Source organism: Homo sapiens, chromosome 10 (assembly GCF_000001405.40).
Source record: "Homo sapiens chromosome 10, GRCh38.p14 Primary Assembly".
NCBI lineage: Eukaryota > Metazoa > Chordata > Mammalia > Primates > Hominidae > Homo > Homo sapiens.
In genome coordinates, this window is record NC_000010.11 from 85,559,544 (window position 1) to 85,584,566 (window position 25,023).

The 25,023-nt window shown below is 37.6% G+C and overlaps 2 long non-coding RNA genes across 5 annotated transcripts in view; one reads left to right on the plus strand and one right to left on the minus strand.

Moving 5' to 3' along the window:
* The window catches only part of LOC105378404 (uncharacterized), a 46,329-nt gene extending 22,465 nt beyond the window's left edge, over positions 1 to 23,864 (minus strand). For 3 of the 4 annotated variants that reach the window (XR_946157.3, XR_946156.3, XR_007062220.1), the window contains exons 1-3: positions 20,864 to 23,864; positions 2,215 to 2,341; positions 1,660 to 1,778 (exon numbers count right to left, since the gene is read on the minus strand). This is a non-coding gene — a long non-coding RNA (uncharacterized LOC105378404). Of the gene's footprint in view, positions 1 to 1,659; positions 1,779 to 2,214; positions 2,342 to 20,574; positions 20,680 to 20,863 lie in introns of all 4 variants that reach the window. The other variant, XR_001747523.2, reaches the window with a different exon arrangement.
* GRID1-AS1 (GRID1 antisense RNA 1) overlaps positions 18,188 to 25,023 on the plus strand; it is a 29,485-nt gene continuing 22,649 nt past the window's right edge. Inside the window, exons 1-2 of the long non-coding RNA NR_038986.1 lie at positions 18,188 to 18,355; positions 19,948 to 20,060. This is a non-coding gene — a long non-coding RNA (GRID1 antisense RNA 1). The remainder of the gene's footprint in view (positions 18,356 to 19,947; positions 20,061 to 25,023) is intronic.

A 25,023-nucleotide genomic window follows, 5' to 3' on the forward strand; every position in this document is an offset into this window, starting at 1 on the left:
ATATATCTGCATATAATGTACACTTAAAAACATACAAAATAGCATAAGATTATTTTTCCTTTTTGTCAATAAAATGTTCAGGCATAGAAAAATATACATCATTTAACCAAAAACTTATAAATGTTTCCCTTGGTTTAAAAAATAAAACATTTCAAATAAAATTCAACCCCATAAGTAATTGAACATTAAACCTCCAAGAACATATTCTCTTATCTCTGGCAAGAGTTTAAAATTAGTCTGCCCTTGCTTATACTTTTATGCTCCTCCTACATATGTATTTGTGCAGAAACAATATACAGTATTATTTTATATGTTTAAAGCTTTCTAAAAAAGATATCATACTGCATGAATCCTTTTGCAACCAGCTTGATTTATTTAACTTTGTGTTTTTGAGTTTTCTCTCTGTTGTTGTTTGTACATCCAGTATGTTTATTTGACTGTACAGTATTTCATTGTGTGAATATACTACCTAGTACTTTCCTTGTCATCATGGGCAGATCATTTCAATTTTTTGACATTACAAGTCATTTTGAAATGAGCATTTTTGTATATGTCTTCTTGTTCACATGTGTATGAATTCACCTATGGTATAATACTAAATCTGAAATTCCTATAACAGTAGTGTTTGCATTTATCTAGATATTGTCAAATGATTCTCCAAAGTGGTGACTCCAATTATATTCTCACTGCTACCGCATGGATGTACCTGCGGTACATCCTTTTTCTTTACTGACATCTCTGCTAACATGTGGCACATTCAGATAATATTGTTAGTTGTTGCCTTATAAAATTTATTTATCTGATGAATACGAGAAGTCTTCTGAGGTTGAGAATCTTAACATGTATTTATTTACTCTTTGGGGTTTACTTCTTCATATCTTTTTTTTTGTTTTTCAATTTTCATCTATTTTCTTATTGATTTATAGTAATTCTATATACACTACTGAATGCTAATTCTTTGTCAGTTTTGTGCACAGCAAATATGCTTCCTGATCTGTGGGTTATCTTTTCCATTTGTTTGTATTTTTGATGCAGAATATTTTTAATTAAAAGTTTGAAATCCATCTTTTCTTTATGTTCACGTGGTTCTTGATGTATTTGAAAAAGCATTCTCCAATATCGAGGTCATAAAGATATTTGCTATATTTTCTGCTAAACATTTTAAAATTTTACTTTTTACAATTACATCTTTAACCGACTGGAATTGATCTGTTTTTACAGTATAAAGATGGGATTCAATTTTTTTTTCATATGGATAAGCTACTATGTCAGAACCTTTTACTGGAATGATCCCTTCTTCCCAACTGCTTTGTAATGCCAGCTCTGTTGCACGTCAATTTTCCATCTGATCAATATGTTTTCATTGTCTACCATGTATTCAACTGTGTTCTAAGCACTAGTTACGTATCAGTAACAAAATAATTACACCTGATTCTCATTCTGCATTTCCATCCTGTTTCTTAGAGTTGATATCACTATGTCTAAAACACTGTTTAATGACTATAAGGTTTATTTGGTCATGTTATCTAATAAAAAAGTTCCTCTCCTCTTATTCCTCTTTTTTTCAAATTATTCTGCCATTCTTGCTGCTCTTATCAAAATACACATATACCTAAAATATTAATATATATGAGTACAAATATAATTTCTATAACAAACCTGTGTCTTAGGTTGCTTTCCCCAAAAGCAGAGCCTGAGAAGAATTCTTGTTGAAGTGCTTCTCTTAAGAAAAGAAGAATGAGAGAAGCAAGAAGCAAGGTAGATGGAATACTATCCAGCTGTAAAAAAGAATGAAATCATGTCCTTTGCAGCAACATGGATGTAGCTGGAGGTCATTATCCTAAGCAAATTATTAACACAGTGACAGAAAACCAAAATACAGCATGTTCTCACTTATAAGTATGAGCTAAATATTGGGTACTCATGGACATAGACTTGGGAACAATAGACACTGGGGACTACTAGAGGAGGGAGGTAGAAGTGGGGGCAAGGGGCAAAAAACCAATTGTTGTGTACTTTGCTCACTAACTGGTGACAGGATCATTGGTACCACAAACCTCAGCATCACACAATATACCCCTGTAACAAATCTGCACATGTACTCCCTGAATATAAAATAAAAGTTGAAATTATTGTTTTAAAGAAGCAAGGTAGGGGTATCTCTCATACAGCTAAGGGCAATAATTCAGTAAAGGGGATTATCGGGGGTCTTACCAGTCAACATTCACGGCAGCTAGGGGATGTGGTGGGGCACCTGCATTATCCACCATAATCTGTAGCACTATTTTTTAAGAATAAAAATATGCTCCAAAACATGTAGATTTTACACACTATGGATAACCTGATGGGAGAGAGATGGAGTTAGAAATAGGTGAAAATTAAAAAAAAAAAAAACTAAAAGAATTTTCCTCTAGATTGTTGAATGATGAAGTTCTATTGCCCATTTCTGTATCTGTGACACAATAAAATATTGATATAAATAAATACGTAGTGATGAAAAAAATACACAATTCCATCCCCAAACACACTCTTACCCTTTAAAAACACTGCTTTGCCAAAACTGAGAAAGCCTTGTGAATAGCTATGGTCTATAATTTAGGAGGTTTTTGTTGAGCTTTTGTAAGTCTCTACTAATGAGTCAGTGTTCAGCCACTGTTCAGTTGTAGCTTTTAATTGCAAACTTTGGGACACTCTAAATTAGGGGTATATGAAGCCAAATTCACTAAAACCCAATGCATGCTGATGGGCTTAGTTATTTTTTCCCAGTGTGGACTTATGCTCAGCCTCAACTCTTACGTATATTTGCATTGTGAAGAAGAAAAAATTTTGCATTTTGATTTATTGATGCTTAAGTCCAAGGCACATTGTTTGCTAAGGCTTGCCTGATATTGAGGCTGTCTCAGGAGTAGTATTTTTATATGCTTGCTATCTTGCAAACAGAATAAAATTTATGTTACACAGTTTAACCATTTTGTCTTGTTTCCTGATCATCCAAATGCATAGTTACCTTACTATAATATCCAGGCTAATATTGTTATCCTCACTACCTCACTTGAAACACACAAATCAGACTCCAGTCTAACTTTTATAAAGGTAGACTAGAATCAGGAGTCCAACAATATTGTGGAAGCAGTTAGCATACATCTCTATCACAATGCAGCATCCAGTATCCAGTACACAACATACTGCAATATCCAATGCAGTATTTTAATGTCTAAAAGAAAAGGAAATCTAGAAACCATGAGTAAAATTAATGAAACAATAAGCCCTATAGATGTCTCTGTAGAAGTCTGGTGTGATAGCATGAAAGACTCAGACCTCAGAGGGAAGGGCTGGGGGTCTTGGTGCTGCCTCAGAAAGAGAACACTTAGCTTTTGGCTTGAATTTACCAGAGGATGAGCTGAGCAGCTCTGCTCAGAATCAGAATCATAGAAGGATTGTACCTAAGTGATAGGAAGAAGAGAATACTTACACTCTCTCCCCAGGACAATGAGAAATGAAAAGTAAACATGCTTCTGCCTAGGGCTTTGGGTGGGTAAAAATGTCTTCTATATCTCCTGTGGAATTAAACTCATAAACTGCTTCATGTATGCAAATGAAATCAAAAGTTTGTCTAATCCTATGAATAAAAAATAATTCACAAATAAAAAAAGGTTAAATCTAGCTCCAAACTGTTGAAACTCGTAGGCTATCTAATAAAAATAAATCAAAGCTATTCATATTAACAATTATAAAAATTAGAATATATAATATTTCTATAGACAAAAATAGCCTCTGCTGAAGATGTGCTTACATAAAATAAGATAATAATCTACCATGAGAGTCAGAAGACATAACAAACTGAAAATTAAATCGAAAAAGGAAGCACAAAGGAAGTATATGAAGAAAATCAATATGAGATCAAATTAATTAAATAAAAAACAAAATATGATCAAGAGGATTGACAACAAAAATTTATACTTTAAATAGAATTCAAAATTGATTTAAAAATTTGTTAATGCTAATGAATAGAAAAAAGAGAGGACAAATTTCCAAAATCAGAAATAAAAAATAAAAAGACATCAAATTTAAAAATAAAGGATATTATGGTCAACTTTTGGAAAATAAATGTAAAAATTTGAATAAAATCAAAAAGTCTTAAAAAATTATTACAACTGACCTAAGATCAAAGAAAACATAAATTGTCCTTTCTCTATTAAAAAACTGCATTCTTAAAAAAACACATAAAAACCTCTTCACAAATAAAAGAGCAGTTTCAGATGGCTTCAAAGCACAAGATTGGCAAACTTTAATAAAAGAATAACACCAAGCTTATAAAAATATTTCTAAAGAAGTAAAAAAAGTCAGAGCACTGACTATTTTATTTTAAGAAACCAGAGTTAACATGGTATTTAAACATGATGAAGGAATTATAAGAAAAGAAATGTACTGGACAATCCACGTATAAAAAAAATGAAAACTCTTAAAGATAATATTTGTTAAAAAGTCAGTAATACATACAAATTATAACATACTACGTCCAATTTAGGTTTATTTCTGGATTGCAATTTGCTTCAGTTTTCAAAAATTAATCAACATAATATATCTTGTTAATGGAATAAGGGATAAAAGTTTATTATCTCAATAAATACCTAAGTATAATTTGATAAAATTCAACCTCTATTGATGACAAAAATTAAAAAGAATTTGAAAATCTAGAATACAAGATTTTTCTTAATCTTTTAAAAAAAATCATCTGGTGTTTTAGCAACCAGAATGTTAACTCTCGTGTGTCCAATCAATTTTATACTGATTTTACCACATTTCTGTGTGATAAAATAAGGAAAGGAAATGAAAACAAATGTATATGAATCAGAAAGTGACAAATAAAACTAATTATTTGTAGATAATATGGAATTTTAAAGTATAATGACTAATTGCAAAATCTATGAAGAATAGAGTAGGAAAATAAATTTCATGATATTCCTATAATGGAATATTACATGACTAGACAAAATGAATGAACTAAGACTTTACATAAAAACAGAGTTGATTCTTTTATAAATACATTGTTGAGTAAATAAACCAGACATAAGAAAGTCTGTATAATTCTGTCTATAAAATTTCAAAAGTTGGCAGGACTAACTTGTGATGGTAAAAGTCTGGATAGTGGTATAATTGAGGAAAAAGAAAAGTGTAATGATTGAGAGGGGACATGAAGGAGGATCATGGGTTCTAGTAACATTTCTCGGAAAATGCAGTGATCATGCCAATCTGTTCATTTATAATTATTCACAAGGTATATTCTTATCATTTGTGTACTTTTCTGTATAATAGAATATGTTTTTAATTTTTTGAGTTTATAATCAAACAAGTCACAGAACAGATATTAGAATACTACTTTCTGTATAAGAAAGGATGAGAAATTAATACCTATTTATGTAATCTATCTACACACACAAAACAGGAAGCAATGCACAATTGTTATTTTTAAGAGAACAGAGTTAAAACAAAATTCTCACAGTATAATTTTTATACACTTTTGATTTTGAACCAAAAAAAATTTCACATATTTAAAAATAGACTTGAAAAAGTAAGCCTTAAAAATAAAAAAATCAACTGAAACAGACTTTCTTCTTTTGTTAGTATTTAGAAAATAGAACAAAACCATTGTTTGTACACTATCAACCAAAACAAACTGGTTAAGCAAAAAAAATTGTAGGTTTTATTTTTTTTTCACCAAAGCCTATCAGAAACTTATGAATGCAAATACACTGCATTCCAGAAAAAAAGATAAACATATTATGGAATAAAAGAGACCGATGGCTCACAGGGAAGTGTGAAGAGGAAAATTTCATCACTGGTGAGTTTTAAGAGAAACTGTAAGAACTTTTACAAACTTGCCAGGGCCCAGCGTGAGCCTGCATGATGGTGTGAAATTCTGAGGCACCTGGGCTGCAGAACAAGTCTGCCCCACACACCAATTCTTTCCCAAGTGTCTTCACTGAGTGCTCTTGGGTAGTGTGTGTCAGTGGCAATGCAGGGCAGTTGCTGAGATGCCATTGAGGTGCATGGACCCTCCCCCAAGGGCAAGGCAAGAATACTCCATAAGCAGAGAGGCAGGAAGGGAGCTGAGAGACATGGATTTATCAAGGCAGCCAGGCTTTCAACAACTGAACAGCTGAGAGCAGAGAAAGAGCTGGGAGAAACTATAGTTGGATATTTCACACTCCTCTCTGAGTAATTGATAGAATAAGTGTATAAAAAAGTAGCAAAATACAGAATTTGAAAAACATTGTCATGGAATTTGACCTAAGTGGTATTTACAGAACACTTCACCTCAAAACTGCAGAATACCCATTATTTTCAATTGCATATAGAGCAGTCACCAAGATAGACCAATATTCTGGGTCACAAAGCAAGTTTTAATCAATATAAAAGAATGGAATCATGTAGAATATATATATTCTCCCACCTCATTGCAAACCAAAAATAAAATGCTAAGCCCCCTACCCCAGCCATATGAATGGATGCCTCCTCTAGGCCAAAGACATTCCAAATTTAACCTAAAAAATTTGTTCAGGCCATGATAGAAGGGGCAGTTGGACATGCTTCATTATACCCTCCCCAGTTTTGCAATTCAGGAAAAGCCAGCCAGCATTAACATCAACACATATCTTAAATCTGATCAGACAATCTATTCTCTTTGAAGCCTGCTACTTGGAGGCTTCATCTGCATGATAAAAACTTGTTCTCCACAACCCCTTGTCATAACCAAGATATTCCTTTCTATTGATAATAACTCTTTCAACCAACTGCCAATCAGAAAATTTTTGAATCCACCTATGATCTGGAAGCTCCCACAAATCCCCACACCCCACCAGATTGGTTAGATCTAGAAGTTGTCCCACCTTTCTAGATTGAGCCAATATAAATCTTACATGTATTTGATTGATGTCTAATTTCTCCCTAAAATGTATAAAACTAGGCTGTGCCACAACCACCTTGGGCACATGTTCTCAGGATCTCCTGAGAGTTGTGTCACAGGTCATTGGTCACTCATACTTGGCTCAGAATAAATCTCTTCAAATATTTTACAGAGTTTGACTCTTTTGTAGACAATAAGGATTTTAAATAAGAAATCAGTGGCATTAAGGTATCCAGAAAATTCCCAAATATTTGACAATTTAGTAATACCACTTTAAATAACACATCAAACAGGGAATTAAAAAAATTAAAAAGTATTTCAGCCTAAGTTATAACTAAAACACGACATATCTAATTGTGCGGCTCATAGCTAAAGAAGTGCTTAGAGGAAATTAAATGGCTTTAAATGATTGTATTAGAAAATAATAAAGGTCTCAACCAAATTACCTTAGTTTCCAACTTGAGAAACTAGAAGTAAAGCAAATTAAATCAAAAATAAGTAGAAAAAATTAATAAATGTTGGAATCAATAGAAAAATGACATAAAAAATTGATAACTCAAAACTTTGAAAATAATAAAAAAATTAGTCAAAATCCAGCAATATTAGTTAAGATACAGTGAGAAAATGCAAATATCTAACAACAGAAATAAAATAAGAAACATAATTATAAATTTACCAACATTGAAAAGATAATAAGGGAATAGCATGAAGAATTTAATGATAATAAATTCTTTGACATAAATTAAGTGAACAAAGCCTTGAAGAGTAAAACTTACCACAGTTGATACAAGAAGAAATATAAAATAAAAAAATCCCAATATTTACTAAAAAATTCAACTCATACTAAAAAATATTTCCACAAAGAATATCCTAGGCCCAGATGATTTTTTTAACAATTCCATGAAATTTTGAGAGAGATAATGTGAATTCTAAACAAATGTTTTCAGAATAAATCAAAAATTCTGCACAATTTTTTGTAGTACTAAAAAGGAGTAAATGGTTATTCTAACATATTTTGTGAAACTCATAAAATACTGATATTAGTACCTGACAAAGACATTGGAAGAAAAAGTTACAGATCAATATCTCTCATGAACATGGACATAAAATCCTTCATAAAATGTTAGTAAACCTTTCCCAGCAATACATAAAAAGAATAATAAGTCATGACCAAATAGAATTTCTCTCAGGAATGCAAGGTTGTTTTAACATCTGTGAATCAGGCAATGTAATTCACCACATCACCAGAATGAAGAGAAAAAAATGATCACTTCAGTAAATGCAAAAAATCATTTGATTAAATTTACAGCCCCTTCATAATAGCTTTCAGGAAACCAGGAACATAAAAGAAATTCCTCATTCTGAATAAAGGACATTTACAAAACAAAACAAAACAAAAAAACATCTAGCTAACATCATTCTTAATGGTAGAATATTGAATGATTTTCCACTAAAATCAGAAAAAAGAACATATCTACTCCTTAGTTTGCATTCAGTGTTGTACTGGAAGTCCAAACTATTGAAAAAATAAAGAAGGAAGGAAAGAAGGGAAAAGGAAATAAAGATTGGTTGGGAAAAAAAGAAATAAAACGTTGACTGTTATTACTTGTAATAATGACTGTGTATGTAAAATACTCAATGAAATCTACTAAAAATCTACTAGAAGTTAAAATTACATTTAGCAATTTTACAAGAGGCAATGTCAATATACAAAAACCAATTATATTTTTAATACTAACAAATAATTGGCAAAAAGTTATCAATAATATAACTGTATTATGTAAAATAGGAAAAAATAAGTAATATTCAAGTCTCATAAATTGAAGACTATAAAATGTTGACTATAAAATATAACTTAAAAGTTAATATTATATCACTTTGCCATCAATATGAGAGCCTTATTTTGATATAGTTTGATATTTATCCTTGTCCTTTGCACTGTTATTGCCTATATATATATATATATATATATATATATATATATATATATGCATACACACACACATACACACATACATACACACAGGTATATAATTATTGCTTTAGAAGTTATGTCTTCTAAAGAAATTAAGAGAAAAAAATTATATGGGCTGTCATATTTCTCCATATGTTTTTTTATTTCCTGGGCTCTTTATCTCTTTCTGTTAATCTGAATTTCCATATGGTATCAATTCTTTGCAGTCTGAAGCAATTTCTGTAGCTTTTTGTGTGAAGACATGTAAAGACAAATTCTCGCAATTTCTTTCCCTGGAAATATTTTTATGCTGTTCTGATACTGAAGAATAGTTTTTCTAGTTGTATAACTTGTGTGTGTGTGTGTTTGTGTGTGTGCACTTATACACCCATGTACATTTCCTAGCACTTTAAAGGTGGTCTTTTTCTATCTTCTGGCCTCCATTGTTTCTTCTCACAAGTCAGCTGTCATTGAAATTGTTTCCTTGCATGTAATGTACATTTTTTTCTGGCTGCTTTACAGGATATTCAATCTCTCTCTTTCTCTCTTTCTCTCTTTCTGTCTTTCTCCCTCTCTCTCTCTCCCTCTCTCCTTCTTCCTCTCTCTCTCCCTCTCTCTCTCTTTCTCTCCCTACCCAATCTCTCTCTTTTTTGCAGCTGGACTATGATCTGAATAGATGTGGTATATTTATCCTGCTCCTTAGTACTTGTCATTCTGAGGAGTCAACTGATTAACTAAAAGCTCAGGATTTTCAACAGGATCCTTTCACTCTAGCTGTTTGAACCACTCCCTTTGACTCTGGCCATTACATAGCCAAAGAAATCTCTATTCAACCCACAGTTGCCCAGCAACTTTTGTCTACCTGACTGTGTTTCTGCATATCAGCAATGTAGTATTTGGCCAAAACCTTGAGACCTGCTGCTGATTTTTGAAGTTCCTTCTCTACACAGCTACCTTTTCTCCAGTACCCTGCTTTGCTGTCTCTAGCTGCCTCGAACTTTCAGATCCTCTGATTTCTGTAATCTCAGTTCCTCTAAGCCCCTAAACTTTCCTAGATCGCTACATCCCTGCAAAGCAGTGCAGAGTGCCCCTCTGCAAAATGCCAGGGCAATCACAGGGCTCACCTCATGTGTTTCCGTCTATCTCAGGAAGCATATTGCTGTGTTGCAATGTGATTCCATAATCTAGAAGCTTTGCCTAATATACTTCTTTCCAATTTTTAATATTTATTTACAGCAAGAGGGATTATCTGGTACCAATTGCTCTGTTATAGCAGAAGGAGAACTTTACAAATTTTTGTTTTTCAAGTTTTTAAACATTCAGAAATTGTGAAAGAATATTAATAATTGTTAGCACTTTTCTACTTCTAAAAAATTCTTTTCGTGTACAATTTTTTACAATGACATTTTAAAATAAGTTGCAGGCATAATAATAATTCACTCGTAAATGCTTATATATTTCCTCTGAATAAGGACCTTTTCCAACATAACTGTAATACCTTTATTATAGTTAAAATTAATAATAATCCCATAGTAACATATAATATGCATTCTATATTCAGATTTACCCATTTGCCTTCAAATTGTCCCTGTAACTGATTTAATTGTTTGGGAATTACAGAAAGGCCTTGTTTTACTGATTTAATTATTTATTCCGGATCCAAGGCCCAATCAAGGCTCACGCATTACAATGCATTTGTTCTTATTTTTCTATGATCTCTTTTAAACTAGAATAGTTTATTGTTTATTGTTTGTTTATTTGTTTCCTTTTAAAGAGTCAGGTTACAGTCTTCTAATTGAATTTTCCACAATTTGGACTTTTCTGATTGTTTACTGATGCTATTGCTCAAAGCATTCCTCTATTTCTGAATTTCAATTAAATTTAACCTTAGGGCTAATGATTTATTTAGATTAAGATTAGATATTTTTGTCAAGAATACATCATAGGTGATATCATAACTTCAAATAACATCTTATCAGAAGTCAAAAATGCCAGGATGTTTCACCATAAAGGATGCTAGTTTGGATCATTTGCTTAATGTAGTTAACACCATCTCTCCATTTTAAGATAATATTTTTCCCTTTATAATCAGTAAGTAACTGAGCAATAATATGTGTCACTGTGAATTTTTTTTCCAAAAACATTTCACCCACGGGTTTTTGTACCCATTGCTAGTATTTTCTCGAGTAAGTTTTTATATTAGGAATTGCAAATTCATGATTTTTAAATTATACATTGATTAGCTATCATTTTTGTAAATACTTTTTAAAATTCCCCATAATTTCTATACTTAGAGAAATTGAAAGCTATTGAATAAGAATTAGAAAAATGTCATTTTAAAAATCAGCATTTACAGGTCATTTGTCCCTTTTGGAGGTATCATATATAAAATTGTAAGGTTGGGTGTTATGAGGCCAAGGGGAAAGTTCCACTTAGCCCTCCTAAAGTTTGCTGAAAAATCAACTTGCAAACACATTTGTCTGATCATAGTTTTCTATGACACAGGAGCCTTCAGAAAAAAGGGCCAAAGATACAGGGAAATTGTCCATTTTTGTGGTTAGGTTTCACAAAATGTGGACAGCTGTGTAGAAATATAACTGGACTAAAAGGGTATGATCTAATGCTAAGAGCCTGAATGGGGAGGCAAGGCCTGTCTGTCTAGATTCTTCTGGGCCTCTCTGCACAGCATTTCTTCCTTCAAGGCATGGGGCAGGACCTTCTCTGGAATGGGGTCTTATGACTTACAGTGAAACATGGTAGATCACATAATTTCTTCATAGGCAGTTTTTACACAGAAAGGCGGAGGGAAAATTAGAGTAATATTTCTAGGTTTCACAGCTGGCTTTGAGGAAAAGAGGTTCTGATTTCTATGTCCCACCTCGGGGAGGAAGGATTCTGGCTTCCATGGCTAGCCTCGGGGGAGAATGAGGGGCCAGAGGTCAGGGAGAGACCTGTGCTTCTGAGGCTGCTTCTAAGGCCTTCATTTTGGGAGTTTGTTTCCTGAGTCCCAGCAGTGTCAAGGTCAGGCCAGTCTGGCTGGAGTTTCCTTCCTCAAAGGTGAGCTGGTAGCTCCAGGCCTCTGAAGCTCCAAGAGCCATTGCCCGGGTCTCTCCCATGGTCTCTGCACTTCCCATGGAGCTGGTTCTGGAGAGGGCCTTTCCTTGTTAATTTGGTTAAAAATGGCCAATTTCCCAGTGGGGACATGTGGGCTTCTGGTTGCAGTGGAGACTAAGGGGTATGTATCCCCAACTGACTAAATGCTTGCCAACCAGCTTCTGTAAAAGCAGATTTCATACCCAAGGGCACCTTGTCTTTTCGGGGCTGATTATCCTCTTTCAAGCCAAGGAGAAATAATCCCTGACAAGCACTCATGAGCATAGCTGCAGCACATCCTGTTCCATTTTATCTTTGCCTTATTTGCTTGGAGTGGTCAATTCCCTCCTTAACAGAAATTGAGAGGAATCAATACCTTCCTTCTTAAAACCAAAACAAAAAACAAAATATCAGGTAAAAAGGTCAGCTCTTCTGAAAATTACTCAGCACCCTGAAGCTCAGACAGCTTAAACTGGGGGAATGTCATCCTCAGCCATTTTTCCAGGCAGAAGGGACTCACCTGTTACTGTGAGCGAGGTGTGTAATGAGGCTTGGAGGAAAAGGGACAAGGAGCTAAAATTATAAAGCATTTTCTCTGAACTTGTTTGCACTGAAGCATCTCCTTTAATAGTCATTTGCAATATTCTTATTATTTGTCTTGCTTTAAAAATTAAAAAAAAGAGAGAAATTGTTGACAGACCAGGTCACTCGTCCCAAGTTATATGGCTGGAAGGCAGTGGAGTTACATTTGAAAATCAGTTAGCAGAGATAAGGGGCAGTGGGACTTCCAACCCTAGATTTTTCACAGCCCCACTGACAAAGACATTCTTTCAGCTCTGTCTAACTCCTTACCCCTACCACCTGGTTTTCAAATGTAATGCCACTGCCTTCCAGCCATATAACTTGAGACAACTGACCTGATTGCTCAATAATTTCTCTTTTTTTCTTATTTTTAAAACAAGATAAATAAAAAGAATATTGCAGGTGACTATTAAACAAGACGTTACAGTACAAACAATTTCAGAGAGAATGCTCTATGATCTTAGTTCCTTGTCCCTTTTCCTCCAAACCTCATTATACATTTCACTCACAGTAACCATACAAAAGAGAAATCCCTATTCCTACTTCATATTTAAGGATACCATGGCTGAGAGAGCTAATTGCCTACAGTGACAGGCACTAAGTCACCTTGCCCTCTCTCCTGACCCTTGTCATGAGCCTCTGATGGACTCTGCACTGTTAACTCATTCCCAACTTACTACCTACTGAGGTATTTTCCAGAAGTAGGACCACCAGTGCTAAAACCAGGGCAGTCTAGGGCAAACTAAGATGGCTTTTCACCCTAAATTCCCCCTCCTGGACGAAACTATTATTCCTTTTTTTGTTTATTTTTTTCTTGCTGAGAGGGCATCACATTTACTCTACTGGTTTATCTCAATTAAGTCCTTATTCTCCCCAGAGATAATCCCTGCTACCTTCATACACTCCATCCTGATACCATCTTTGTGTCCTCCTGGTCCTCAGCCATGGTCTCATTTAATTTTGGGTTGTTTAAGCCAAAGAGGAAGATGGATATTTTTCCTGACACGTAGCAATCTCCTGTTAGATTCAAGACTGATTGACCTTGCTCTTTGATCTTCTTGAAACTTGTTTTCCCCAGCTTTGTTAAGGTATAATTGGCAGATAAATGCATAAGGAAAATACGACATATGTGTACAATGGTATACTATTCAGCCTTAAAAAGGAAGGAAATCTTGTCATTCGCAAAAACATGGATGAACCTGGAAGCTATGCTAAGTGAAGTAAGCTAGGCACAGAAAGATCAATACCACATGGCTCACTTACATATGCAATCTGAAATTATGCTCTGTATGATTCCTCTTCATGAGAGGTTTCAAACCCAGGGGATCACGCACCCTAGCAATATGCATCATTACTATCCTGATAGGCTTTGGGCCCCTGAATACTCAGTGCTCTGCTCTGACGTTCCAGAATCTCACTTTGGTCTGGGACATTCCACACATCGGTGGACTGTCAGGCTATATGTCATTTGCTCAGATTTACTAATAAACCCTGAACAACAACAACAAAAAAACCCAACACTGGAAGAACACACAGCACACACACACACACACACACACACACACACACACACAAAAGAAAGGAGAAAGAAAAAGAAAGAAAGAAAGAGTGAGAGAAAAAGAAAGAAAAGAAAGAAAGAAAGAAAGAAAAGAAAGAAAGAAAGAAAGAAAGAAAGAAAGAAAGAAAGAAAGAAAGAAAGAAAGAAAGAAAAAGAAAGAAAGAAAGAAAGAAAGAGAAAGAGAGAAAGAAAGAGAAAGAAAGAAGAAAAACCTACTAGCGGTACATGGAGCATGTGGGTCTTATATTTCGTATCAGCTGGGTTCCTGTCACTTTGTGTGATTTTAGACAAGGCATTTACTTCGAGTCTAGTTCTCCTTGCTATAAGAGGGAGTAATGATTAAATGATTTGCTCTCAGGAACAACTTAGAATAGTACCTGCGATACAACAGGTGCTTACTAACACCTAACTTCCTTTTTTCTGTTAAGCTGAGAACCATGACTTTTCTTCCCCAGAACTTGCAGGCTGTGATGGGCACACAGAAGTGGGTTTTACTGGATTTCCAGCAGGATTGGATGGGCCCTCCTGGTACGGATGCAGTTGGTGCCTGTAGGGCCAGCATGAATGCCATCTTGTAGAAGCCAGAGTGTCTCAATTTCTTGTGCAAGATACGTGGTGACCAGACACCCCTGGGAAGAACCCAGAGTCACTCCCAAGTCCACCCGAGTCCTCACTGACTACATAGTGCTGAATGCAAACATGGGTACTAATTGAATAAAGCTTCCTCAGGATCAATATGGCTTCACTCCAAGTAAGCCTACTATTTAAATAAGTGAAACAAAATGCTACTTACTGGCCTCTGCTATTTATCTCCTAATTACGAGCATATTTGGCTGACTCAAAACCAATTTATGTGTAGAAGTCAAACAAAAAGGTCTCATTACTAAAACCTGGACATCCTTTTATGCAAATGAAGTGCTATGATATACAAGGATTTACTATGAACAAACAAAGCTGAACTTGGATGCACATGTGCTTCCAGTCAAAAGAAGTTCCCAACTGGGTAGAGCCCTGGACTGCCTTTGCTATGTGTCTTTTGTGGAGAGGGAAGCCAACAGCACCATCTCCAGCCTGCAGCCTGGCACACACAACAGCAATGGAGGCAGAGCAAGGATATTACACTTGATCTTAGCCAAAAGACTGAGAAGTGATAGAGAGCAAGAATATTGTTGTCCACCAAAACAGCCATGTGAATGGCCCTTCCCAATCCCTGGTCTTAGTTGCAAAATCTTCTCTACTCGAAAACCCTGCACATCTGCACATTTTCAGCCACTCACAGTCACAGCCACATTCTGAGGTCATATGTATCATAAAAGTATAAATATCCACCTACTCCTAGAGAGCTTACCATGTTCTATACTGTGCTAAGTGCTTTATGTGCACTACTACATTGAATTCTCACTACAAGCTTTTGACATAGGAACTATTATTATCTCCACTTTATAGATTAGGCAATTGAGTTCCAAGTTCACACAGCTAATAACTAAGAAACAAGACTTATACACAGATGTGTCTAACATCAAGGTATGTGTTTATATCAGTTGCACAATACGTTTCTTTTCTACAGTCTCTGTTTAACCTTTCAATGTCTGACTAAAGTGTGTCCCTTCACCTGTCCCAATAAAACTGCCCTGATGTGAGCTCACGGAGAACTCCAGCCTTCCAGTCCTGCTCTGTCTTTCCAGCCCATCAAACCCAGACCAGCTTCACTTCTTTCCTATCAACCTGGCGGCTGTTATCAATCATTTCAACTACGTGTTTACTAACTCCCTCAATTCCCCTGATCCCTTAATCTTTTTCTGCACAGGTTCTCATGATGTACAGGTCTGGATTAATACAATCACCTGTTTTTCCCTTTGCGGCCCAGGGAACATGGAGGCCATTGGACAAAATCTGCTACATGTGTTTGAATTCAACCTTTGTGGAGCTTTCAGTCTCACTGCAAACCCTTTATCCTGCTCAAGTTGTCTCTCTTTCCTCTTCCCTGCAGTGATGGCTCTCAGCCTTGTCTTTGTCTTCAGGCTCCCCACCAGGCCCCTGCCCTCATTCTCTCAGCTGATGAATAAGTGGTCTGTGTTGCTGGGAAAATTGAGATCCTTAAGGGTGAACTCCTTCAACTTTTCTCTGAAAATATCCCTTTATCTTCCCTCATTTTTTCCCCACCTGTTGCCAAGATTTCAGATATCACAGTTTTCAACAAGACCTTGCTTTGTCAAAAAGCCTCACCCAAACCTGTGTTGCCACTGAGTGTCCACTGTGTCTTTATGTTTACCATCCAATGTTCCATCGTTCCTCTCCTGAGTCCCCTACAACCTCCCTATGGCCCCTCTGGGAAGAGTCCACTCCTTTTAATGGAAATTGGAAGTTGCTGATAGTGCTTATCATACCTCCTTCTGAAACATCCTCCTCCCTTGATTTCTGTGATAACACACTCTTAATGTTTGGGTGGCTACTTGGGGTATTCCCTTTGACCCTTTTCTTACTCCACTCTCTCTTCACTGAATAGATTTCATCCAAAGACATGAATGCAAATACCATCCATACTCTGATGATTCCAAAATCAATTTCCGAATCTCAGATCTTAACTGAAAACTAGAGATGTGTACTTATATGGCAAAAATGATGTGCCAAGAAATAAACCCAGGCTCCTCCTTCTAAACCTAGTTTTTTGGGGGTAATCCTTGTTTTAAAGACATTAAATTTGATCGAATTACCCAAGGTAGAAACCTAAGAATTATATTTTAAGCCAGGAATGGTGGCTCATGCCTATAATCCCAGTGCTTTGGGAGGCTGAGACAGGAGGATTGCTTAGGCCAGGAGTTCAAGATCAGCCTGGGCAATGTAGCAAGACCCCATGTCTACAAAAAATAAAAAATAAATATCACATTTTATGTCTTCTTTTCAATTGCTCTCATACATATGCCCAATTGATATTAAATCCCACTGATTTAATTTCACTTATTAATTCACTCAAAAATATTTATTTGAAATTTCCTCCATGTGAAGTAAGTAATTTCAGCTGTAATAATGCACAGTGCCAGGGACACCATGCATTAGGTACAACATAATGACCCTGTGAGTCATGGTGCTACGCCATGACTATAATAATAAAGATAATAGGGATATAGATATAATAATAAGGATAATAATAGGTAATAGGGCCTGCCCTTATGGCTCTTAAAATGTACTGTAGGGACATGACCATAAACAAGATCAGCATCAAACAAGTGAAAAATTGCAAGAAAACATCAGAAAATGATGATTGAGCCAGGAACTGAAGAATGAGGGAAAGAGAAAGAATTGAATAGAAGTCAAATGGCTCCTGCACATAGTACTGTAGGCAAATGCCTCAGGCAGGAGCATCATGGGGCATAATTGCCACCAAAAGACCAGTGTGGCTGAAGCAGAAATTGGAGGAAAACTGTGCAAAATGAGACTGGAAATTAGGAGGAAAGCAGACCATGCAGAGCCTAGACCACATAAAGGAGCTATGTCTTTGTCTGTTCTAACAGCATTGGCAAGACAGTGAAAGCATTTGCAGATATTCAGCATGAGAGAGAGAAAAAGAAAAGCGAATTTGAATTTTGAAAAATTTTACTCTGGTCACAGTGTGGCAACCAGCTTGGTGAGGAGCAAGGGTCGAGGCAGGAGAATGTTGAGGCAGCAATGGCAATATCTCTGGCAGAAGGGGTGGTGGTCTCTTGAATGAGTAGGAAGGCAACTGGGCAGAAGACAGGTGGATGGGTTGGTGAGTTATTTAGGAGATAAAATCAACACAATGAAGTGTTGACTATGGAAGATTAAGGAGAAGAGGACATCATGTCAGGTTCCTGGCTTTTCTAAGTGGACGGATGATGGTCTCCTTCACTGACTTGGAGAATAGAAAAAGAAGATTATGCGATGGAGGACAGCACTGGGGACTGTATCTTAATTTCAATTTTGAACATATTGGTTTGCAGGGACTTTCAGCCTTCCAAGAAGAGATATGGATTACAAGTTTGAAACTCAGAGGAAGATGATGCTGCATATGAACGCGTGTACTGTCTGTATATAGATGATAAGTGATGTCATAATGTAGATGAGAATGTCTAGGGAGAAAAACTTGAGTGAACTGAGAAGACAGACAGCCCGTGACCAAATTCTGAGAACTCCAACCATTCACTGGTTGAGTGGAAGAGAACAAGCTCAGAAAATAAATGGAGAAAACATGGTAGGAGGAGCAGAAGAAAAATGAGGAGAATGCTGTCTCATGGAAGACAAGGTAAGAGAGCATTGCAAGAAGCAGAGAGTGATTATCAGGACCAAAGGTGCTGAGAATTCAAGAAAGAGGTCATATGGGAATACCTCTATTCAGTAGAGCTACTTGGATGTGGAATTATGAGAATGTAAGCCACAGTAGAGTGGTTAAGAAATAATGTAAAATGAAGAAATAAGATTTTCTTTAAGAAGCTCAATAAAAGAAGAGAGGAAGCGGAGCAATAGCTGGGGGAATGAGATTAGGATTTTATGTGTATTTAATGGAAATGGTTTGAACAAATTAAAGGCTAATAGACAAATCTAGTTAACAGAAGGAATCTATGTATAAGGAAAAAATAATTAATACCTGTTTCATTGCTCCTGGGAAAGTAAGAGTGGATAGGATCTGGTTTCCAGGATGAGATGTGGCTTTAATCCCAGAAGAAAGTCTACTTTATTATTACAGCAAAAAAAGGGGGCGATATTGAGGACAGATGCAGGTCATTCATATATTTATAATTGGGGAGATAAGTAAATTCTCATTTGAAAACTTTTACTTTATTTTTTATTTTTCTGTAAAGTGGATATGAACTGACAAAAACCAATCCTAAAAAAGCACATAAGGTATATGATTTCATCTATATAACATGCTAGAAATGATAAAATGATGAGAATGAACAACAGATTAGTGGTTGCCAGAGGCTAAGGAGAAGCAGAGGGAAGTGGGTGTGACTATACAACAGCAACATGAAGCATCATGTCGTGATAAAAATATACTTTATCTCGGCTGTATTCATGTCAGTATCCTGGATTTGATATTATGCTACAACTTCACAAGATGTTATCATTGGCAAAAACCGAGTAAAGAGTACAGGGAAATTCTCTTATTACAACTCCATGTGAATATGTAAGTATCTCAAAATAAAAAAGTTTAATTAAAAAATGTTGAGTAAAGGAGAGGAGGCGTGTTTATGCATTTAAAAAGTGTGAACAGTTTCTGGGGAAAGTAAAGAAAGAATTGGCCAAAAAGTCCTAGTGAGATTTCCAGGTCTCTTAGAGATTGGCAACCATGAATTTACAAGGACAGCAATCAATCTGTTCTGCTGTGTAGCTTTCATCACCTGCACTCCACCATCTGGGGATAAGAATAGAGAAAACAGGTGGTTGGGTTGTTCAGGATACGGGTGCACCAAGCCAGTGCAATAACAACAGCAAGAAATGAAGGACAATTTTTCTCAGATCCATGTCTGTCCTTTCCATCCTCCCTGCTGGTGCTTTGGTTTAGAATCGTGCTTTTGTATCTCCCTCCTCAACATGTTCAAGCTCTTTCCTGGGCTACTCCCACACCAGCATTGTAATTTAAACAGCTTATCCTTCAAATTCTTGGGCCCAGAAGTGACAACAACTGCAACTATGCCTTCATAGCTTCTTATACATTAGTATATTTTATTTATCAGTGTTCTCTAGAGAAACAGAGCCAAAAGATTGTGTGTATAGATAGATAGACAGATAGACAGAGAAACAGAGAAAGAGAGAGGGGACGGAGGGTTGTGGGGGAGGGACAGAGAGAGAAGAGAGAGAGAGAAGGAGAGAGATGTATTCGTTTATGTATTTTAGGGAATTGGTGCACATGGTATGGACCCCAGCAAGTCCCCCTCTGCAGGTCAGGTGGGGATCCAGGGAAGATGCTGGAGACCATGTTACAGCTCCAATCCAAAGGGACTCTGAAGGTAAAATACCCTCCTTTCGGGAAAACTCAGTTTTTTTTCTTAACACCTTCAATTGATTGAATGAAGCTAACCCTTAGTACAGAGGTTAATCTGATGTTCTCAAAAATCTATTGATTTAAATGCTAATTTCATCTAAAAATGATACCTTCACAGCAACATGTAGACTAGTGTTTGACCAAATACCTGGGCATCACGATCCTAGCTAAGTCAACACAAAAAAATTAACCATCACATCCATTATAACTAGAGTGATCACACCATTCATCATTCTAATGGAAGTTATTAATAATTGTTAGAACAATAAGCACAAACTGGGGCTGTCTCTGGCAAACCAGGACATAAGACCATCTTCATTACAGTCTCATCACAATGTGTTTTGATAGCTCCATGGGAGTTCCCATGGATCTCTGTGTCCCTAGAAAAAGTTGGTGCCCTGCACACTGTTGTATTCGAGAAATGTTGACGGCCCCTCCTGGCCTATCTTGGTTTTTATTTGTCTGTGGTCTGTCCTTACCACATAGTCCATTCCAGGTACTCCCACCCATCTGAAATCTCTCGGGTTTATCCAGAAGAGGATAGATTCATATTTTGTTAGCCTCTGCTGGCACATCTGAAATGCCTGAAAAGGAATAGTACCCAAAAACAAAAAGAGAAGAAACTATTATCTTCAACTTAAGTGTACACAGGACATGTCCCTGGGCTCAAGAGTAGCTGCCATTGGGCTGATGGCCACTCCACTTGGGCCCTGATCTGAGCAGGGTCTGAGAATCACACTCAGTCCTAAGACCCATAACTTGGGGTACCTGTATCCTGCCTTGGCATTGTTCCAGGCCTGCTTAGTTCTCAGTATTCTGGGTGTCCCTTCTCTCCCAGCTTTTAGGTCTTGGCAGGGACATCTCCGTAGCTAAGAACCTCTACCCCTCTACACTGCAGAATCTTTGTATAATCCTGAGTTCTGTTCTGCTAGTTCTATTCTGATCAAATTGCCTCTTCCTGAAAGCAGGAACTCTGGATCATCACCAAGTCCCAGACTGAAAAACCCACCTAGAACCTAAATTCCTTTGACAGATATGCATAGCTCTTGGAAATCACTCACTGTGAGTGCAGAGAACTGCCGCCAAGCCCCACGGGCAGGTTCCTGCTACTGCTGGCATGTGGCCATGTCATATTGCTGATTCTAGTTTCCTGTGTCATTGCACTATGCCCATCAGCCACAGATGCATCCAAGACTGGCTACTGCCTCCCAGCTTATTTGAGTTTGCTTTTCTGCTCACTGGGAACCTGTAGGCCCTGCCTCAGGGTCTGTTTGCATTGTCATATGTAGACTTGCTATGTGCTCAGTTCCAACACCAGTTCTTGGACTCTGCCATACTATGTTTTCTGCCCTCAGTAACTAAAAACCTCCCAATCCATTTAGTCTAGGGTTTGTCCTCCCATTTTGTGCAGCTGCAGGGAGAATGTTTAGTGCAGTAGTTAAGAACAAAGATGTGAGGACCAGACTGACCTAGGTTGCTCTGCGGTCTTAAGCAGGTTACACAAAATCTCCTACTCTCCATCATCTGATCTCACAGTTTTATTGTGAGGATTAAATGATGGAACACGTGCAAAGAGTTTGACATGATGCCTGTTACTGAGTCAGCCCTCAGCATACAAGCCTAATACAGGGTTTGAAATCTGGCCCTAGTGTTCTGCCATTCACCTCCTCTGGGTGGTAATATGCTGGCTAATGTTTTATAATCAGCTCTCTGAGTAAAACAAGGCTCTGATTTATAGTGCTTGCTGATTTCCATGGTGTAAATATTCCCATCATGGCCAATTTCATGGTGCTAATGTGATGTTACTGAACACAGAGTTGAGAAAAGATACACACAAGAGGTTTTCATGAGCTGGTAAGAGCAGGACGCAGCACACCAGTGACATTGGAGCTACACTGGCCCAGTGCTTATGCTCTGACCTGGATCTTTTATGAGGAACTCATTTCTGGCTCATGCTCAAGAAGCTGTCTCTCCGTGATGTATTAAAGAGCGGTCTCCTTCACATTCTTGGGAGTGATGCTGGATAAAGCATGTAGTCATTTCATCTCTTCAAATAAGATATTACAGATGATTCTGATCTGCTGAGATGCAGCAGCCTCTTCAATTGCAGCCAAGGGTCAGCTCATGATATTGATGGTAAGGACTGCCCTTCTGGGAACTTTCCAGAGTTCTCTACAGCACCTCTGCTTATTTCATTGGTTGCTATGAACACCTGCCTGAAACTTTTACTTCTTACAAGAAGTGGCCCCAGGACTCTCATTTCTGTCTATTAATACCAATACTTCCAAGAGCAACAACTAGAAAAGCTGAATGAAATGAAAGTAACATTTGTTTGCAGGTATTAGGGAGCTACTGAATAACCAAGAGTTAAAGGCCACAGTCTTGTGAGGAACTGCATGAGGCTTTTCCTATTGGTCATTGCCACTTTGATGTCTATCATGGAGATAAGTGCCTGCCAGAAAATGGAGAAGAACCCAACAAAGAATCAGCAGCTAAGCAGCGCTCTCCATGTATCACGAAAGTGGGGAAACGAAGGCTGGAGTCTGGACCAATCAAGGCAACCCAATCTTGAGGAACCCAAATCCTGGATAGTGAAATGGGGATATTAAGATGAGAGCCACACTGTGTGCCAGTCTTCCTATTGAGGGATTAGGCTATTTGTAAGTTGTTTAGGAAAAAAGACTAAGAAGCAGAGGAATAAAGACACTAAAATGATGAGTAGAGTTTTTGGCCATTTCACTATGCTGGGGAGAAAAAATATGGAGATGAGAATAAGTCATAAAAAGGGGTGTTGGTAAACATAACAGGTGTTCAGGTGTGATCCCTGAAGGGCTACAGTTTACTAGTGGGGATAAAACAGAAGTGAAACAGGAAATTTTCCTGGACCCCTTCATGGGTGGGAACTAGAATGTGGGTGCTGGAGCTAGCCAGTGGCTTCAGAGGCTTCACTCACTGGGATCCACTGCATTCCACCCCTTGTGAGAGGAGCAGTGCAGCTGAGCTTGTGCAGGAAGGAGCCAGGGCAAGTGCTTCTGGGCACTGTCAGGAGCAAAATGCTGTGCGGGGCCCATGGCAGCATCTATGGGAGAGTACCCACTATCCCCAAAGCCCCAGAAGGAGTGTTACAGGCAGTGCTCTTTCAGCTTTATCATCCACAGATGGCTTAAATGATTAACAGCTTAGTGGACGCTCTGCCTTTTTGCAAGGGTAGAGGGTCAGCGTGACAGCCTTCTGTATCTTGAGCTCTTGTTCAGCATCCAGGAAAAATCAGGTCACATGAATGAATTGAAGGATAGCAAATGTGGGGGATTTTATTGCCTATGGAAGTGGCTCTTAGTGGGAAGAGGAGTTGGAAAGGGGATGGAGTGGGAAGGTATTCTTCCCCTGAAGTCCCACCATCAAGCTGTCCCTCTGAAGTCAAACTGCTTCTCTCCAACATTCAGCCACTTCCTCTCTTCTCCCCTTCTCTGCTCTCTGCCAGTGGAGCTTGGAGTTTTTATGGGTACCAGGATGGAGTGCAGGGCAGTCCAGGTGTGGCTTTGGAAAAGGCAACATTCGAGCAGGAAAACGGGCATGTAAAGTTCTCACTTTGGGCTGTGGTTCCAGGCTTGAGGATGGGGCCCTCGCCAGAGACCCCACCCTTTTCTGCCTAGAATTTCTCTGCTTCCTGTCCCTATCAGAAGTAGTCAAAATCTTTTAAGAAGTGAAACCAGCCTGTAATCCCAGAACTTTGGGAGGCCAAGGTGGGCAGATCACCTGAGGTCGGGAGTTCGAGACCAGCCTGACCAACATGGAGAAACCTTGTCTCAACTAAAAATACAAAATTAGCCAGGCGTGGTGGCTCATGCCTGTAATCCCAGCTACTTGGGAGGCTGAGGCAGGAGAATCAGTTGAACCCATGAGGCAGAGGTTGCAGTGAGGCGAGATCGCACCATTGAACTCCAGCCTGGGTAACAAGAGCAAAACTCCATCTCAAAAAAAAAAAAAAAAGAAAAAAAAGAAAGAAAGAAAGAAAGAAAAGAAAAGAAATGAAAGCAGGCTCAAGTCAGTTCCATTCCTGAATAATTGAGATTATCTTTCTTGTTCTAGTTGCCCGCTATATGATAGAGTAAATTATCTCTGGGAAAAGAGAATGCGGTTCTGAGCCTACATAGTGTTTCATACACAATATCTGATGCTCCATAAAATATTACCGAGCATTTTTTAAAGCCTCTTCTGGATTCTAGACCTGCATGTAAGGAGCTTTGAGGTCTTCACTAACAACAAGTAAACAAAAGAAAAATACATAAACTGAAAAATCAACTCTTCTTAGATCTGTCATAAACGTAAGGTCACAGGATAAACCTCCTCCCCAAAAATAAGAGAGACACACGAGCGTATACAGAGAATCACAACTTGCCAGAACAGAGACCCACAAGCAGAAACCTCTGTGGGAACAAATACTGGGGCAGGAAAACCCAAACTGTAACTGGTGAATTGCTGAAAGCTCAGTGTGGATGAATCTGAGAGTTAGAAACTCCAGTGGGGGCAGGCATACAGAGGCCCCTCACTTTTTATGAGTTTTACTTCCAGGAGCTCTCTCAGGTTCTCAAAGTGAGTATCAGAGAAAACTTTCCTCATGTATTTGAAAATAGAAGGGAGAAGTAACCATTATGAAATATGCCAAAGCATTCTGTTCTTAAAAAGGCCTGTGGTCAATAAAAAATATCTTACCAAAGCCTACTCTTTTGTGGTTTTAACAGAGCCTAACCAACCTGGAGAAAGAGAAAGACCCAACTCTAGCCCACTCTAGTCAACCTGTCCTACCTGGAGCAGGGGTCAGGGAGACTGAGAAGCCCTTGTGAAGTTCATATTCAAGGGGCATAGGATCACAAAAGGACGAAAGCCTAATAATCACAGAGTGATAGAACACTTCACCTGCCCACCAC